At 41.8% G+C, this 16,312-nt stretch overlaps 1 protein-coding gene across 1 annotated transcript in view; it reads left to right on the forward strand.

Annotated features, from left to right (window-relative positions):
• The window catches only part of PPP1R14C (protein phosphatase 1 regulatory inhibitor subunit 14C), a 107,349-nt gene extending 99,037 nt beyond the window's left edge, over positions 1 to 8,312 (forward strand). Inside the window, exon 4 of the mRNA NM_030949.3 lies at positions 6,666 to 8,312. Coding sequence (NP_112211.1) covers positions 6,666 to 6,740 — 75 coding nt within the window. The 3' untranslated portion in view covers positions 6,741 to 8,312. The remainder of the gene's footprint in view (positions 1 to 6,665) is intronic.
• The last annotated feature ends 8,000 nt before the right edge of the window (positions 8,313 to 16,312 follow it).

Consider the following 16,312-nt stretch of genomic DNA (forward strand, 5'->3'; position numbering starts at 1 on the left):
AACCTTTCAAAACCTCCCCTCAAACACACAACAAAACAAAACAAAACAAAACAACAACAACAACAACAAAAACCCTCTAGGCCCAGATGGCTTCAGTGGGGAATTTTACCAGACATTTAAGAAAGAAATTCTACCAACTCTACATAAACTCTTCCAGAAACTTGAAAAGGAAGGAATACTTCCCAACTCATGCTATGAAGCTGGCAATACCCTGATACTAAAGATAAAGATATTACAAGAAAAGAAATGTACAGACAAGTATTGAATTCAACAATATGTAAAAAAGCCATTATGATCAAGTGTGGTTTATCCCAGGAATGCAAGATTAGTTTAACATTCGAAAATCAATGTAATTCACCACTTTAAAAAACTAGGAGGGGGAAAAACCCCTCTAATCATGTCAGTAATGGAAAAGCATTAGGCAAAACCCAGCCTCTATTGCTGATACAAACAGCACACTAGAAATAGAAGTGAGCCTCCTTAAGTTGATAAAAAATATCTGCAAAAAACCTACAGGTAACATACTTGCTGGTGAAGGACTGAATGCTTCCCCCTAAGATCAGTAACATGGTCAGGGTATTCACTTTCACCACTTTTATTCAACACAGTATTGCAGCTTTTAGCCAGTACAGTTAGGCCAAAAAGAAATACAAGGCTTCTAAATAGGAAGAAGTAAAATTGTTTTTATTGATAGACAATGTGACTGTGTAGAAAATTCAATAGAATCTACAAAAAAATCTCCTAGAACTAATATGAGTTCAGCAAGCTTGCAGGATACAAGATAAATATATGAAAATCTATTGTATTTCTCTATACCAGCAACAATTGGAAATAAAAATATACTGTTTACAATAACATCAACAATATTAAATAGGAATATATCTGACAAAAGATGAACAATATTTGTACACTGGAAATTATAAACCATTGCTGAGATAAGTTAGTTCTTAACTGAGAGTAGAGATAAATCATGTCCATGGGTGAGAGGATTCATTAGTGTTGAGATGTCAGTTCTCCCCAAATTGATCTACAGATTTAAGGCAATCTCAGTCAAAACCCCAACAGGGAAATTTACAAGCTGATTCTAAAATTCCTTTTTTTTTTTTTTTTTTTGAGATGGAGTCTCACTCTGTCACCCAGGCCGGAGTGCAATGGCACAATCTTGGCTCACTGCAACCTCCGCCTCCCGGGTTCAAGCAATTCTCCTGCCTCAGCCTCCTGAGAAGCTGGGATTACAGGCACCTGCCACCATGCCTGGCTAATTTTTGTATTTTTTTAGTAGAGACAGGGTTTCACCATGTTGTCCAGGCGGGTCTTGAACTCCTGACCTCAGGCGATTGAACCACCTCGGCCTCCCAAAGTGTTGGGATTACAGGCATGAGCCACGGCACCCAGCCCTAAAGCTCTTAAGGAAATTTAAAGGACCTAGAATAGCCAAAACAATTTTGAGAAAGATCAACAAAGTTGGCAGACTAACATTACCTGATTTCAGGATTTACTATAAATAAATCTGTACTTTTTAAGACAATATGGTATGGGTATAAACATAGACAAATAAATAGATCAGTGATTCAGCCATTCCACTCAGAGATATTTACACAAAAGAAATGGAAGCATATTCCATACAAAGATTTGTACATGAATGTTTTAAACAACTTTATTTATAATAGCCCCAAACTGGAAACAACCCACATTTCTACCAACAGGTGGATGGATAAATTGTGGTACATCTTTATGATGGATGCTACTCAGCAACAGAAAAGGAATGAACTATTAATCCATGCAGCAGTGTAGCTGAATCTCCAAATAATAGTGCAGAGTGAAAGAAGCCACACTAAAAAGTACAGTGTTATGATTCCATTTATGTAAAACTCTGGAGAAGGAAAACTAATCTGGAGTGACAGAAAACAGGTCAATTTTTTCCTGGGAATGGGAGGAGGGAGATTGCACAGAAGCATGAAGAAGAAACTTTTGGAGGTGTTGGATGTTTCCATGATGTTAGATCATGCAGATAGTATGCTTGTGGTTGTTGTCTGCCTTAAATACGTTCAGCTTATGGCATTTCAATTATGCCTTAATAAAGCTGCTAAAAAAAAAAAAACTCACTGGGAACCTTGTAGCCTCTTTCCCAACCATTCTACTCAAACTTCTCTCATCTAAGACACACTGGCCCTTTCTTGCCCGATCCATTATATTTGTCTCTGTCCTTGATTTACTTAACTTCTCATTGCACTTGACTTAGGTGAGCACCTCTTTCTGCTAGAAACACTTTTCCTTCTTGGCTTCTGAACAGCACATTCTCTTGGGTTTTTCCCCTAGCTCTTGTGGCTCCAAGTCCTCTAGCAAACCTCATTTGTTAGGGTCACCTTTGACCCTATCTTCCTCTCTATTTATACTCTACTCAGCTCCAACGTTATCCCACCTAGTCCTGCAATTTAAAGCAGCAGCATCTGTACATCCCAACAGAATTTTCTGGGATAATAGAAAGAGTCCCTATCGGCATTGTCCACATGGCAGCCACTAGCCATCTGTGGCTATGGAGTACTTGAAATGTGGCTAGCGTGACTAACAAATGAATTTCAAATTTTATTTATTTTATTTAATTTCAATTTAAATAGCCACATATGGTTAGTGGCTACCGTATTGAATAGTCCAGGTCTAGATCACTGTATGTTTACAAACTGTGGGTGGGAACACATTTGCTGGTCTTGACTTTTATTTTTTCAGAATAAAATAAATTCTATTTTTCACAAAATATTTGTTTCAGGCTGGTATCTCCAGGGCTCACACATAGTTGTTTTTTTGGTTTGGTTTTGTATGTAAGTTGAAAGGCACTGATCTAGATGCCAGTAATGTCCATGTTAATGTTTTCAACCATGAGCTGAGGCCCAAAGTCATATTTGTCATCCTGACATCTCATCACAAATCTGTAAGCCTGGTGTTTTTCCCTCCAGTTTTCCCACACCTCAGCAAATGGCACTATCTTTTCCTCCAGTTGATGCGGAACAGTGACCTTAATTTTCTGCTTTCCTGTTCCCCCTCCCCGCCACACCCTACTCCCACACTCAGTCCAGCAGCAAGGTCTACTGGCTCTGCCTCCTAAATGGGTCCCGGGTCTACCCACTTGTTTCCATCTGGGTTTCTATCAACATACTCTAAGCCCATGGCATCTCTTGCCTGGAGTACTGCTGTAGCTTTAAACTGGTCTGTGATTCACTGTTATCTTCATAAGACCCACAGTGGCCAAAGGAATCTTCCAAAGCCATAAATCAGATGCTGCTGCTGCCCTACTCCAGAGCCTCCAAGAGCTTTCCACCGTGATGCTCTGTTGTCACCTTACTGTGCCTATGAGGCCCTGGTGACTGGGCCCAGCCCTCCGCCACAGTCACCCTGTCCATTCTGTGCCAGGGACTTCCACTTCCTTGCTTATTTATCTTCAGGGCTCTGCACATGTGCTGTGACCTAGGCCCGCCAGATCTTCCCAAGATGGCCCCTCTCTGTTAATTCGTCTTAACTCAGAGGTGATTTCCTCAAAGGAGCAGCACTTCTCTGACTAAATCAGTGTCTGTAACCCAAGTTGGAGTGATAGTATTTTAGGAGTAAATGAGATACATTGTTACTGAAATAGAGTGCTTTTGAGTAATAGGAGCCAAGAGCCATCAAAGTATTCTTGACTAGAGATCCTTGAATTTTCTTTGCAAATCATCTGTAATCAACAAAATCCTTCTGTGCAAGTGATACTGCCAAGTTTCTGTATGGAGAATAAATATTGGTCTTGCTATTTTTTAACTTACTCGACTGAGCACCCCATTATGCAAATTTAATGAGCAGTTTAAAATATGCATATTATGCACAACATAGTGTATTAAGATATAGATGTATAAATTATGTTAATATAAAATTTAAAATGAGAGTATTTCATTAATGTGAATATATCATATGCACAAGGCAAATAGCATTTATTTAAACTTTTTAATCTCTGAAATTTATGTACATCATGGTTAGCTTTGTGAGAAAGTTTGAATTTGATTTAGGTTACCAAATTTGATTTCAATTATCCAAATTTAAATTTGATTGTCATGAAGAGAAAGGGTCTGTAGGGTCGATTATTCCTTATGTAATTTTAGTCTTTACTTTTGAAAATGTGTTATTAAAATAGTGCAGAAAAATTACCAGTTATTAACAAAATAAATTATAGGGTTTGTGATTTTTGACCTTTGCTTTAAAAAAAAAACAAGCTTACATTCAAATACTGAAACTTTTTGTAGTAGTCATATGCATAACAGATTCCAAAAACAACAGAATTGAAACTGTATGTGCAGAATACTATGTATTGGTTAAACCACATAACACAGGAGGCAATAGGAAATGCATTTACATTTGCAAAATGAAAATTGAATATAAATAGGAAAATGTGGCATGATTTTATCCTAGAAAATTATTTAAATCAGAATAGACAGTGTTCAGAAAATTAAAATAAGGCCTCCATTTTACTTCACTTGTATTTCATTCTGTACAAGTTCAGAAATGGTGGTGATTAAAATATTTAAGTCACTTTACATTCTTCTGGGATAGCTCTCCAAAGGGAATAATCCAAGCTACAGACAAAAATTTATGTACAAAGACATTAGTTATGGCATTTTTTATAATTTTGAAAAGTCAGGAGCCATCCAAATATCCAGTGGTGGGAGGAATTAAGCAGATTGTATAACATCCTTACAAAAAGATTATATAACCACTAACATTAATTTTTAGGAAGATTGTTTAATGTGGGAAAAAGCATCTGACATAATGCTAGGTGAAGAAAAAGGATATATTTATATGGTATGATCTTAATTAGGTGAAAACAATATATTTTCTTCAATATCCATAGAAGAAAATATATTAATAGCAGTTAATTCTGAGGACTGCATTGTTGCTGGTTGTATTTTCCAGGTTTTCTAGAAAAAACACATATTACTTTTATAATAGGGAAAAGATTATTCATAAAATAAATTTTGGTGCTAATATAATATTAAATATTTAGGGTTACTGTGCTTTATAGCCAGAGAGTAGTGCAGGGCTCATTTAGTCTGGGAGCTCATGAGTGAGGATTATAATTGATAAGGGAGATTGAGAGCTGTTTTTCAGATGGCTCCATGGACAGCAAAGTTCCTCGGTGTTTTTGCTCTCAGATAGTCCCTGATGTGCTCAGTTCTGTCACTTACTGACTGTCGCTTGCTGATCAGAAAGTCTGATTGGCTGTTAGCTTTGTATTTGACAAATATAAAACAGGAAGACCAGGTAGTTGTTACCTAATAAATATGACTTATCTGGTGGCCAAACATTTTAAAACAGGAGGCAACAATGAGAGATTCCTGATTGTGTAAAGTGGGAACCATTCTGGATCATTTTTCAGTCTTTAGGTTCTGATCGATTTACAGGTCATGAAATCCTTTTAGTGAGTCTTCCCTAGCATTACTTTGTAAATGAAATTAGAGTAGAATAGAAATACCAGAGTGCATGGCATGTAGTAAGTATCCTGTAAGTTTTAATTTCAGATGTGTGTTTGTAGGTACCGGATTGTAACATAAAGTGTGTTTTTGTTTTGGTGTGGTTTTTTTATCTATAGTTTGCTGTCAAAAAACTTCAAAGACTCTTAGTGTGATCTACACCAGTGGTGTGCAGTATTCTCCAGTGATAAGTAGCATCAGTGTCACCTGGGAGCTTGTCAGAAATGTACCTTATTGGGCCCCACCCAGATCTACTGAATCACAAACACTAGTGGTGGGTCCCAGCACTGTGTGGTCCTTAATGAGTCCCTGTCTTAGTAGTCAATTTTCTGTTGCTGTAAGAGAATATCACAGGCTGGGTATTTTATTATAATAGAGGTTTATTTAGCTCACAGTTCTGGAGGCTGGGAAGTCCAAGAGCATGGCACTGGCATCTGGAGAGGGCCTTTTTGCTGCGTCATGTCATGGTGGAGGTTGTCACATGGTGAGAGGACAAGTGTGTGCCAGCTCAGGACTTTCTTCTTCTTATAAAGTCACCAGTCCCATCTTGGGGGCCCTACTCTGATGACCTTATCTAATCCGAACTACCTCCCAAAGGCCCTACCTCCAAATGCCATCAACATATTAATTTGAGGATTAAGTTTCCAATACATGAAATTTGGAGGACACATTCAAACCATAGCAGTCCCCCTGGTGATTCTGATGCACACTCAAATTTGAGGCACACTAGTCCAGCCTTGCCATTCTTGGTGAGGTTCAAGGACTAACACTGGCATCACCTGTGAGCTAGTTGGAAATGCAGAATCTCAGACCCCAACCTGGACAGGCTCACTCAGAATCTGTGAGATCACCAGTTAATTTATTTGCATGGTAATGTTAAATAGCTCTGATCTCAACACAAATGCCTCAGGGGCCAAGTAGGTCATGTCAGTAGTGAAAGTAGCCTGGTTTCCCCCGTAAAGAAAGTAGAACAATAAGAAGGCATTGTGGTGTGAAGTTTTAGTATTCTTGATTTGTTTTTAAAAATCCTGTATTATACCAGTGGGGGTTAACACATTCAACCAAATTCATCAACTAAGGTTAACTGCAGTTGACATCAATTACTTTAAGCAGATTTTTAAACACAGAATTTTAATAGTGACCCTCATATTAACTTCTTCTGATCTCTTTTAGGAATTTATCAAAGAGCTGCTTTCTCGGATAAGAGGCATGAGGAAACTGAGCCCTCCGCAGAAGAAGAGTGTATGATTCTGGAACAGGGTGAAACTCTCCCAGAGACGAAGAAAGAGTCCTGGGATTTGTACTTCATGAAGACTTTTGTGAAAGAATAGGTGTCCTTATGAACAACGTTTTTGTTTTTTTTTTTTTCTTTTTTGGTGTGAAGGTGGGGGGGTCTATTAGACATTTATTCAAGAGCGTTCTTTTTTTGGTTTTAAAGGTTTTTGTTAATGTAATATTTTAATAGCAAAGATATCATGACTCTAGCCACAGCCTAACCAAGGATTATCAAAGGAGGTGGACACTCAAGGAAGGGCCACGCCAGGCTGCGTTTCCTGCAAGGACTCAGATGTTCAGTACCTTATGATACAGGGAAGATAGTTTTCTTACAAGTAGTTTGGTAATATTTTTTTTCTTAAGTTGTACATTTGACTCAGCTGTCAAATTTCTCACACTTGTATATATCTACACACAACTAAGTTAAAATGTTGATGTGAGTTTTATTTCACATGGATGGAATAAACTTGTGGTTGTCCTTTAACTGGAGGTCCCAGCACATGTGTTTTCAAGAGGCCACTAGGCATTCTTCACTGAGTGCTGCTGACTTCAACGTTCACTTTATGCACCAAAGTGAAAGAATTCAGTGTATCCGTTATTTTAATGCACTACACCACAGAAATGTTAAGTTGGTCAAGGGCTTAATTTATGGAATTTCTATTATTTCATTGGTTGGGATGCTTTGCCAGGTCATGTGCTTATTGTCTCATTTTGTAGTCTTTTAAAGTTGTATGAACCCTTAATTTGAAGAACTAACTTGATTTCTAGAGAAATATCCACACTATCTCAGTGGTATTTTGCATTGGAAAAAGGAAGCACTGTGTAGCAGTGAATTGTCTGCTTTCCACCGAGTACTGTGTTTATTCTCTCTCCAGGAAAGCAGATCAAAAGAAAGTTAGCAGATCGAGTGTCTTCTTCCTTAGAAATAGGTTCTGGTAGCTTCTGTGCCTGGGTAGTATCAGACCAGTGGGAGTAAACCGAGTGTTAAGTGTCAAGGTGAGAAAGCCTCACATTCTCTCAAGACAGTTGCTCTAGGAGCTGAGTTGCTGGTTTGGAAGTGTGGAGATTGCATTTCTGGCTTCTCTCAATGGCTTGTGTTGAGGACTCTGGGTGCTCCTGGCCCTAATTGTGCACCCTGATCCCCGTGCTTGGAGCTAGGCCTGGTGGCGTGCTCTAGCCCTCTCAGTTACCAGCTCTTTGGAGAAGGATCAAAATTCAGATGGAATGTGGGATGGGTAATAGGTGAGAGTAGAAACCCTTCCCTCCAGGAGGCCCCCGCTGACTCCCACAGAAACCCACCTACCATAAGATGTCTTCAGGTGGCCTTGTCCAAGGATGGGGGTCAGGCATTTTATATCAAGGGTGCTCTGAACATATTTTATTTTTTAAAAAAACTATGTTTGTGAATTTTGCGTATACTGGCAAGCTTTTGAAAATGTATTTAATTTTGTATTGTTTACCAATGATTTATTTACAAGATATTTACTCAAATAAATGGAGCTGCTTACAAGCCTGTTGACATGTGTGGCTTGCACAACACGTTAACATGATGGTTTTGCTGTGTCAGTTTCTCTGCAGAGGTGAGGACCAAGCACCTCACCTCGTTTCATTTCATTTTCAAGGATTTCTAGGCATGTAATCCTGGCCCTCTCCTCAGGCATCTTCAGATCAGGTGGTGAAAGCAAAGGAGCTGGGCCACATTCTTGGGCTGAGAAAGAAGACGAGCTCTGTGTGCTCAGCCTGGCACTGTCCTAGGCCATGCTCCTTTCATTTAATTAAAACTCCTCTTTGCCATCTTACAAGAACCCTCAAAAACATTTCAAATTAGTAAACTATTCCACTTGTTAGAATGCCTTGCACCATGGAAGTCGGAAAAATACAGAATGGGCAGGATTTCTGTTAGGCTTAATTGACCAGCCCATGTGATGGTCTCAGATGAAGTAAGAATTGACTTTTCCTCCAAAGGCCTCTGCTCCCACCACACACTTCCTCCCCACCTTCCCTCCTGCCCTGATCCCCGTGAGTGCTTCAGCAAGAAGTTTGGGCCTCTTCCTTGACTCCCCAGTATGCTCCCAGTCACCCAGCTTGTCCTCTGTGAATACTTCTCAAACCTATCCCATGTCCAACTTTCCTGGATTGCTGCCACCACCTTGGGAACAGATTCTCCATGTCCAGGCTTGTCTCCCTCTGATCCATCCTCCACCCAGTTGCTAGAATAGTCTGACGACTCCACCCCCTGCTTGAAACCCGAACCCTCTGCATGCCTTATGAGAAATGTTGTCTCTGCCTCTCCCACCTCATCTTTTGGCCTTGTGCTCATGCCCAGTTCTGCCAAATTCCTTGGAGTTTCTGGCGTGTTCTATGTATTTTCTTCTCTGGTGCTTTGTAAAATCTGTTGCCTTGGCCCAGAACGCCCCCTCTGCCAACAGGCTGTATCCAGAGAGCTGGGTTAGACCCCCTCCTAGGTGTGTTCCCCCTCAGCTCCAGCCTATACTCTGTCATAGACGCATCCACAGTATCATTATTGCCTATCCATTTGTTGGTGTCTTCTGTTAGAATCTGGGATCCTCGAGGCTGGGAATCTGGACTTCACCAAGCATCTGGTCCTAGGCTTGGCCCATCAAAGAGATTGTGTGTTTGCCAGTTGAATGAAAATGACAAAAGATTCAAGAAAACTCCACTGTTTTCTTCCCAGCTAGAGTTGTGGTTCTTAGATCTGAGTGTACATTTGAATCACTGGGAAGCTTTAAAAACAATGGAAGCCTAGGCCTCAGTCAATTCTGACCAGTTAAATCAGCGTCTCCAGGACAAGAGCTGGGGTGTTTGTTTTCAAGCTCTCCAGCTTGCGCATCGCTGGGCCATTGGGTCACTCTTGTGCCATTGGATGGCCAGATGCATTAGCCTGACCTCAGCTCTCCATGTTTATGCTATTACAGCAGGTGGCAGCTGTGGTATTAGCACACTCACTATTTCTCATACAGAGTCTTCTCACTAGGGCAATGGCTCCAAATTATCCAACTTCTAGTGCCGCGCTCACTTGAACATTGGGAAATCTCAATGTAAACTTCATGGAGTGGCTTCCATTTATAACGATCATAATAAAAGCACTGTGCTAAGTGCATGCTTTATCTCATTTAATCCTGACCTTAACCTTATGAGGCAGGTGGCATTCTCATTTTACAGATAAGAAAATAAACTCAGGCTTAGCAGCTTACCTAAGTCCACACAGCTACAACACTGAGATTCAAACCCAAACCTATTTGGCTCCAAAGTCCCATAACCATTAGACTTTCTTGCCACTCTTAGGGAATTACTCTTAGTCCCACTCACAAGAGTGAACCCCAGAAGCCACATTTAAAGTGAGCCAGGTCCCTGAGCTGGCAGGGTAGGGGAGGAGGCCTTGTGGATGGAGGAGATCCCAGCCACCTGTGGGGCTCTTCCTCACTCCTGGGAACTGAGGGACTCCCTGCTCCCCATCTGCAGTGCAGCCAGGCCCTGTGATGCTGGCCCTCCTTATCCAGAGTCCTCTTGCCTTTTCCCCATAACATAAAGCTCCTGGACTTGGGCTTAGCAGCTGAGCAAGGAGTATCCAGCCATCAGTTTCCTGAGAAAGAGCAGCTCAGGACAAGGTGATTTTCAATTCCTGAAACACAGGAATTAAACAGGTTTTTACTTATTTATCACTGACATAGTTTGGATATTTGTCCTCTCCAAATCCCATTTTGAAATTTGATCTCCAGTGTTGGAGGTGAGAGGTGTTTGGGTCATGGGGGCAGACCCCTCATGAATGGCTTGGTGCCATTCTCCTGGGATTGAGTGAGTACTTACTCTTAGTTCCCTCTAGATCTGGTTGTTAAAAAGAGCCTGGCACCTCCTCCCCTCTCTGTCTTACGTCCTCTCTTGCCATGTAACAAGCCGGCTCTCCTTCTGCCGTGATTGGAAACTTCTGAGGTCCTCACCAAAAGAAGATGCTGGTGCCATGCTTCCTATACAGTCTGCAGAAGCACGAGCCAAATAAACCTCTTTTCTGTATAAATTGCCTGCCCTCAAGTACTTCTTTATAGTAACACAAACAGCCTAAGACAATCACCTAAAGTCTCCATAAAAGATTGTGTGCTGTGCAAAATCAGCTTTTGGAAACCTAAGCTGTTTTTGACATGACTGCTGTTTAGCAAGAGAGTGGCAGGTCCACAGCTACTGGACACATCCCCATCCCTACTCAGCCACCCTATTTTTGCCTCTGAGTGAAAGGTTCTGGGGCTTCCCTCTGCTTCCTGGGAACCTTTCCTGGAATCTAGCCACTTTGAGAGTGAGCCTGTGTAGTCATGAGTCATATCTGTCCCTCTATGGCCCCTATCTACTTCCTTTGACTCTTGTCTTTGGGTGCTCAGAGTCAAGGAGTCAGCACGCTTCAGTGCTGCTGCATAGCCTAAGAGAGAAGTGCTGTGGGTGGCAGGGACCCTTGTCTGTTGTCTAAGAAAACAAAACTCCTATCGGGTAGTTGGAACTTTCTGAAAGCCATTTTCAAATTGGACACAAGCATACCACTATTTTCCCCTACTGGTTTCTCTTTGCTTGAATTAATTTTAACCCAAATAGTCCTGGAGAATTATTCCTCAGAACTAGTCTCATTTCCTTGAGGGCTTGGGGTACAACCCACTGTGTGTTTGTAATTTGCCTGTGAAAATGGAGTGGCTTCTCAGTCTTCTATGAGTGAGAAAGAACAGTGCAGGCTTCATGGAGTTCCCACCCAACCCCACTCAGAAACAAATGCTGGAAATGCTTCACTAATAGCCTTCTTGTGCGGCCATGAAGGCCAACCAGTTCTCTCTTGCTGACTGGAACATCTTGCCTGGGGATGGATTGTTCTTTTAAGACTGGATTGTTCTCTGCCTCCCGTGTCTCTGTGGGTGTTCCCATCACAACACATTAGCAGACATTTCAATAAGACTGATACTAGAACAGCTACAAACGAAGTCCTTGAGAAACCTGCTTTTCTGTTGTTTTATTGAGTCAATTGGATAAATAAGGGCAGATTAGTGTCTGGTGTGTGTTTTCTTCATGCTCAGTCTCCTTGGTGGGGTGTAAATGAAACTAGCGGGGTGGGCTTCTTTGGGCTCACCTTGTTCCAGTGGATTCTAGGAGGTAATTAGTTCCAGCAAGCACAGGGGGTAAAGAAGAGTGCATTCTAAACATAGGCGCTGTATAGACTTAATTGTAATTCAGTGTTCAAGTTGTTAGGAGACATTTCTACATGGTTCTCATGTTTCTGCATGTCTTGTGAGTGAGACTGCCTTTGTTCCAGACCCTTTTTTCAAGAACGTTTATATGTATAGCAAACAGTCTTGGAAGTTAGAGATAGTGTCTCCATGCAGAGCAAAGCTGTCTATTATAAAAGATATGGGTTCCCTAAGTGTCGAGCCCCTTTCCTGGGATGCGACCCACTGCATGCACGGGCGTCATCTGTCCTTCTTTGCAACACCCTAGGAGAACTGGGGCTCGAGAAGTGCCACTACTCTAGCCACTGCTATTGCTGTAACTGTCCTTCCTCTCTGACTCAGGAATGTAGCATCTTCTACCAGCATCTATGAAACTGACAGGCTAATTTGTTAGCTTACAGTAATGTAAAACCTTAGACCCTATACAAGTCTTGACAATGGTCAGTTGTCTTGGTCTCTTTCAATAGGACTTGAATCATTTTTGTCATTAATAGACATTTTCTTATATTTAGACTCTGATTGATTAATCATTTTCAAATGCATAGGGTCGGAAGTTTCCTTTAAAGAGATTTCATGCCTGGAAGTGGTTGTTCTGTGGAAGGAATTTAATTTCACAAAAGCCACCTTTTCTTTTCCTCGTTGTTGGTAACGTGAAGCGAATGTTGCCTGGGGTGAAAAGACTCATGAAAGAGAGATGGAGAGATGGACTGTCCTGGGAGTTTACAGCAAAATTACCCAGTAGAGTGAGGCAGAGAAGACAAGCAAAGATTCTTGCCTCGAATCTTTCTGTTTAAAATATGTATCTACATAATATGAGTGGTGCATCATCACTGGCAATTTTGAAATTCCCCAGTTAATCTCTAGAAGCAGTTTTGTGAACTTACTTGCAGTATCACGGCCCACCCAGTGGTTACCAAAAATAGAAATTGAAGTCAGGGAATATCTGAGGCTACCAGATTGATTCTATTCAGGTCGCTAAATGATTCACATAAAGTGTAACCCAACACACCCTCCGGGTCACAAGATGCTTGAGGGTGAGTGATTTACTATTTGGTTTTCTGTTATTAGTAGCACAAAATTACTCCTTTGGTGTTGATTAGATTTTTAAAAGGGAACATTTCTAACTCAGACCTCCTTTCTGATAGCTCATGGATAAGGGACAAATAAGCTTATTTGTCTTTTCTTAAATATCCTTCTACAGCACTTAGGGTAGCACCTTGCTCTTTTTGGCTGTAATCTCAACATGGGGAATCAGTATGTGTAATCTATAGTGTTTCATCCTCACGGAATACCCCAGAGCCATAGAGAATCACCTCTTTCTGTAATTGGTAATGAGAGAATTAACCAAAACCTCTCAAACTGATTTAAAAAAAATGCATAGTTTTTTTTTCTCCTAATCTTATTTTCTATCTGAAACATCTGTGCTTATTTGAGAGCTGGGAAACTCGCTACTTAAATCTTTAATCTAGGATGTCTTAAAATTATAGTTCATGTGGACTTAGTGAGGTCCTCATAATCTCTGAAACTGTGTAGGAGATGGAACTTAGAAAGGAGAGACAGATTGAGGTGAGCCACACATAGAGCAACAGAGAGAGATGGTGATCCCAAGACAGGATGCTGGAATGAAGAGAGCCAGAGAGTAGCAGACAGGCATGAGCATGTGTGGGAGGGTCCATGCCACATTGGGGTCTCAAAGTGTCCATACCTCGAACAGGTGAAGAGCCAGGACCCAGAGCCTTGGAGCCCAGGCCCACAGGAGACTGCAGCCACCCAGGGAGCCAGGGCTCGGGTGTCCCAGGAATAGCCAGGGTCAAGCTCTGCCTCCCATCCTCAGGCTCAGCCTTCACCTTGATCGGATTTCCTGGTCTCCTTCATTCCCACATCATCCACTCTGCTGAATTCCTTCCATAGATGATCACTTCTCCCCAGGACACCGCCCCAGCAGCAAGTAACAGCCTGCCTGGCAGCGAGCCTTGCACGGGCCCATCCCCACCCGCTCACAGGCACACACTGGCTTGTTCAGGAGGTGGGTTCCAGCTCTCTTCTTCCTCCCTGCACTCCATGTTGGGTTGCTTCGCCTGTGGGTTCTCATGCTTACAAGCCCTTGGTGTAACTTTGCCTCCAACCCGTTCAGCATCACGTCAACTTCAATTGCCAATGCCCTAACCCACTCCCTTATGCTTCCATCATCTTGTTTAGGCTATCAGACAAACAAATTAAGACAGACATGTGAATACTGCCATGCAATACAGAGCAATGGATGGGAGGAAAGTCCATATTTTGTCGTCTTATCTCCAGGAAGAAATGAAGGCGGGAAGAGTAAGAATGATGCCCTGTTCCTTAACAAAACACTTTGTGCATTCTTTATTGTGTCATAGCTGTGCAAGGAAACAAAGCTATTGCATTTTATTTGGGCTGGAAATGTAAAATCTTTAAAATATAACTTTTAGAAGGAAGGCAGTTGCTCTTTTTCCTCGTGTCTTATCATGAGAGTCATTTGATCCAAGATACTGCTCCTTAACTTACGCTTTTTATTTGGAAGAAACACTAACGATACTTCTTAGGGATATTGTACAGAGAAAGTAGGTTGCACATTTAACCTTAGGAACAGAAACTGCTGTTGCTTAAGTACCGCTCACCCTTTCACCACCTGAGATGAAGAATGACTCAACCATATGATGAAACAGAGAAAGCCATGTTTCTAATGAGGCCAGAGCCTGAAGGCAGAAACCCTTCAAGAGCTGAATTTCCCATTTTGTTGCCAACAACAAATAAACTCAGTGTTCCTTCAATGACGATTAATCCGGCAAAAACCATGCAGAAATGAAGGAGCTTTAAAATGATCATCATTCATCAACCCAACCATCTCCCTTGGATACCCACTTCATTACTAAGAGAGTAATTATTTTTGTGTTGTCAGTTTTAGGGAAAAGCCCTTGAGGATTATTCATTGGTAATTGGAAAAATAAATGTTAATGTCTTCTGTGGATTAGGAAAGAATGTTTTATGACTAACTGTTTAGACGCTTCTGTTGCATTGCCTGAGTTTGGAAGCTTCATTGGTTTTCCAGCCAAGGCTTCATAAAAGCTTTCAAATTACCTGTAGCTGTCAGAGAGGAGTCTCCTCAAGGAGATGGATGAAGCTTGCCCACGATGCCGCATTCCAGGTTTTTGTAATAATGCTGTGGCAGCCCCATCTTTCTCCCGACTTTTATTTTATTTTATTTTATTTTCTTGAGATGGAGTCTCATTCTGTCACCCAGGCTGGAGTGCAAATGTGCAATCATGGCTCACTGCAACCTCTGCCTCCCAGGTTCAGGCAATCCTCCCACCTCAGCCTCCTGAGTAGCTGGGACTACAGGCGTGCACCACTATGCTGGCTAATTTTTCTATTTTTTGTAGAGACAGGGTTTCACCATGTTGCCCAGACTGGTCTCACTCTTGGACTCAGGCAATCCTGCCTGCCTTGGCCTCCCAAAGTGCTGGCCCCGACTCTTCTTAAATTGTGGTCCCAAGGCCAAGCTGTAGTGCCAGTGATTTTCCTCATTGAGGAAATGAGCTCAGGTTATTAGAAGTGATGAAGTCAGCAGGCCCCCACAGGATGAGGTTTTAGTAGCCACAGGGCTTGAGGTGCAGCCTCTGGGAACCCAATCTCTTGATCTACAAGGGTGGCTCTGGGGAATGTGAAAAAATTGGACAAAAATACTATCTAGCCCCAGCAGGAAGGATTAGGGTGGCCCTTGACAGTGTGGAGTGGTAAATACACCCATAAAAATATGTTGAAGAATGAGGGGCCGGGGTGGAATTGGCTTCCCTCTGTAATATATTGACAAAAGGGCCGGGTTTAGTTTTTCTCTGCAGAATGGTCCAAAGCAGTTGTGGCAAGAACAGGCCCAGGAAGAGCTGGAGTCTCCCTCTTACTATTAATTTTGGATGACCCCATGCAGCACCCATTCAGCCTGTCCAGCTCACATGACTACACACAGGTTTAATCAAGAATCTCTTCCCAGCCGGGGGCAGTGGTTTACGCCTATAGTCCCACACTTTGGGAGGCCGAGGTGGGCAGATTGCTTGAGCTCAGGAATTTGAGACCAGCCTGGGCAACATGGCAAGACCTCTTCTCTACAAAAAAAATATGAAATATTAAGCAGCATGGTGGTGTGTGTCTATAATCCCAGCTACCTGGGAGGCTGTGCTAGGAGGATCACTCAGCCCGGCGGTTGAGGCTGCAGTGAGCTGTGATCGCGCCACTGCACTCCAGCCTGCGTGAGAGAGTGAGAGCCTGTCAAAAAAAAAAAAAAAAAAAAAAAAAAGAAGAAGAAGAAAA

The sequence above is a fragment of the Homo sapiens genome, chromosome 6, assembly GCF_000001405.40.
Source record: "Homo sapiens chromosome 6, GRCh38.p14 Primary Assembly".
Taxonomy (NCBI): Eukaryota; Metazoa; Chordata; class Mammalia; order Primates; family Hominidae; genus Homo; species Homo sapiens.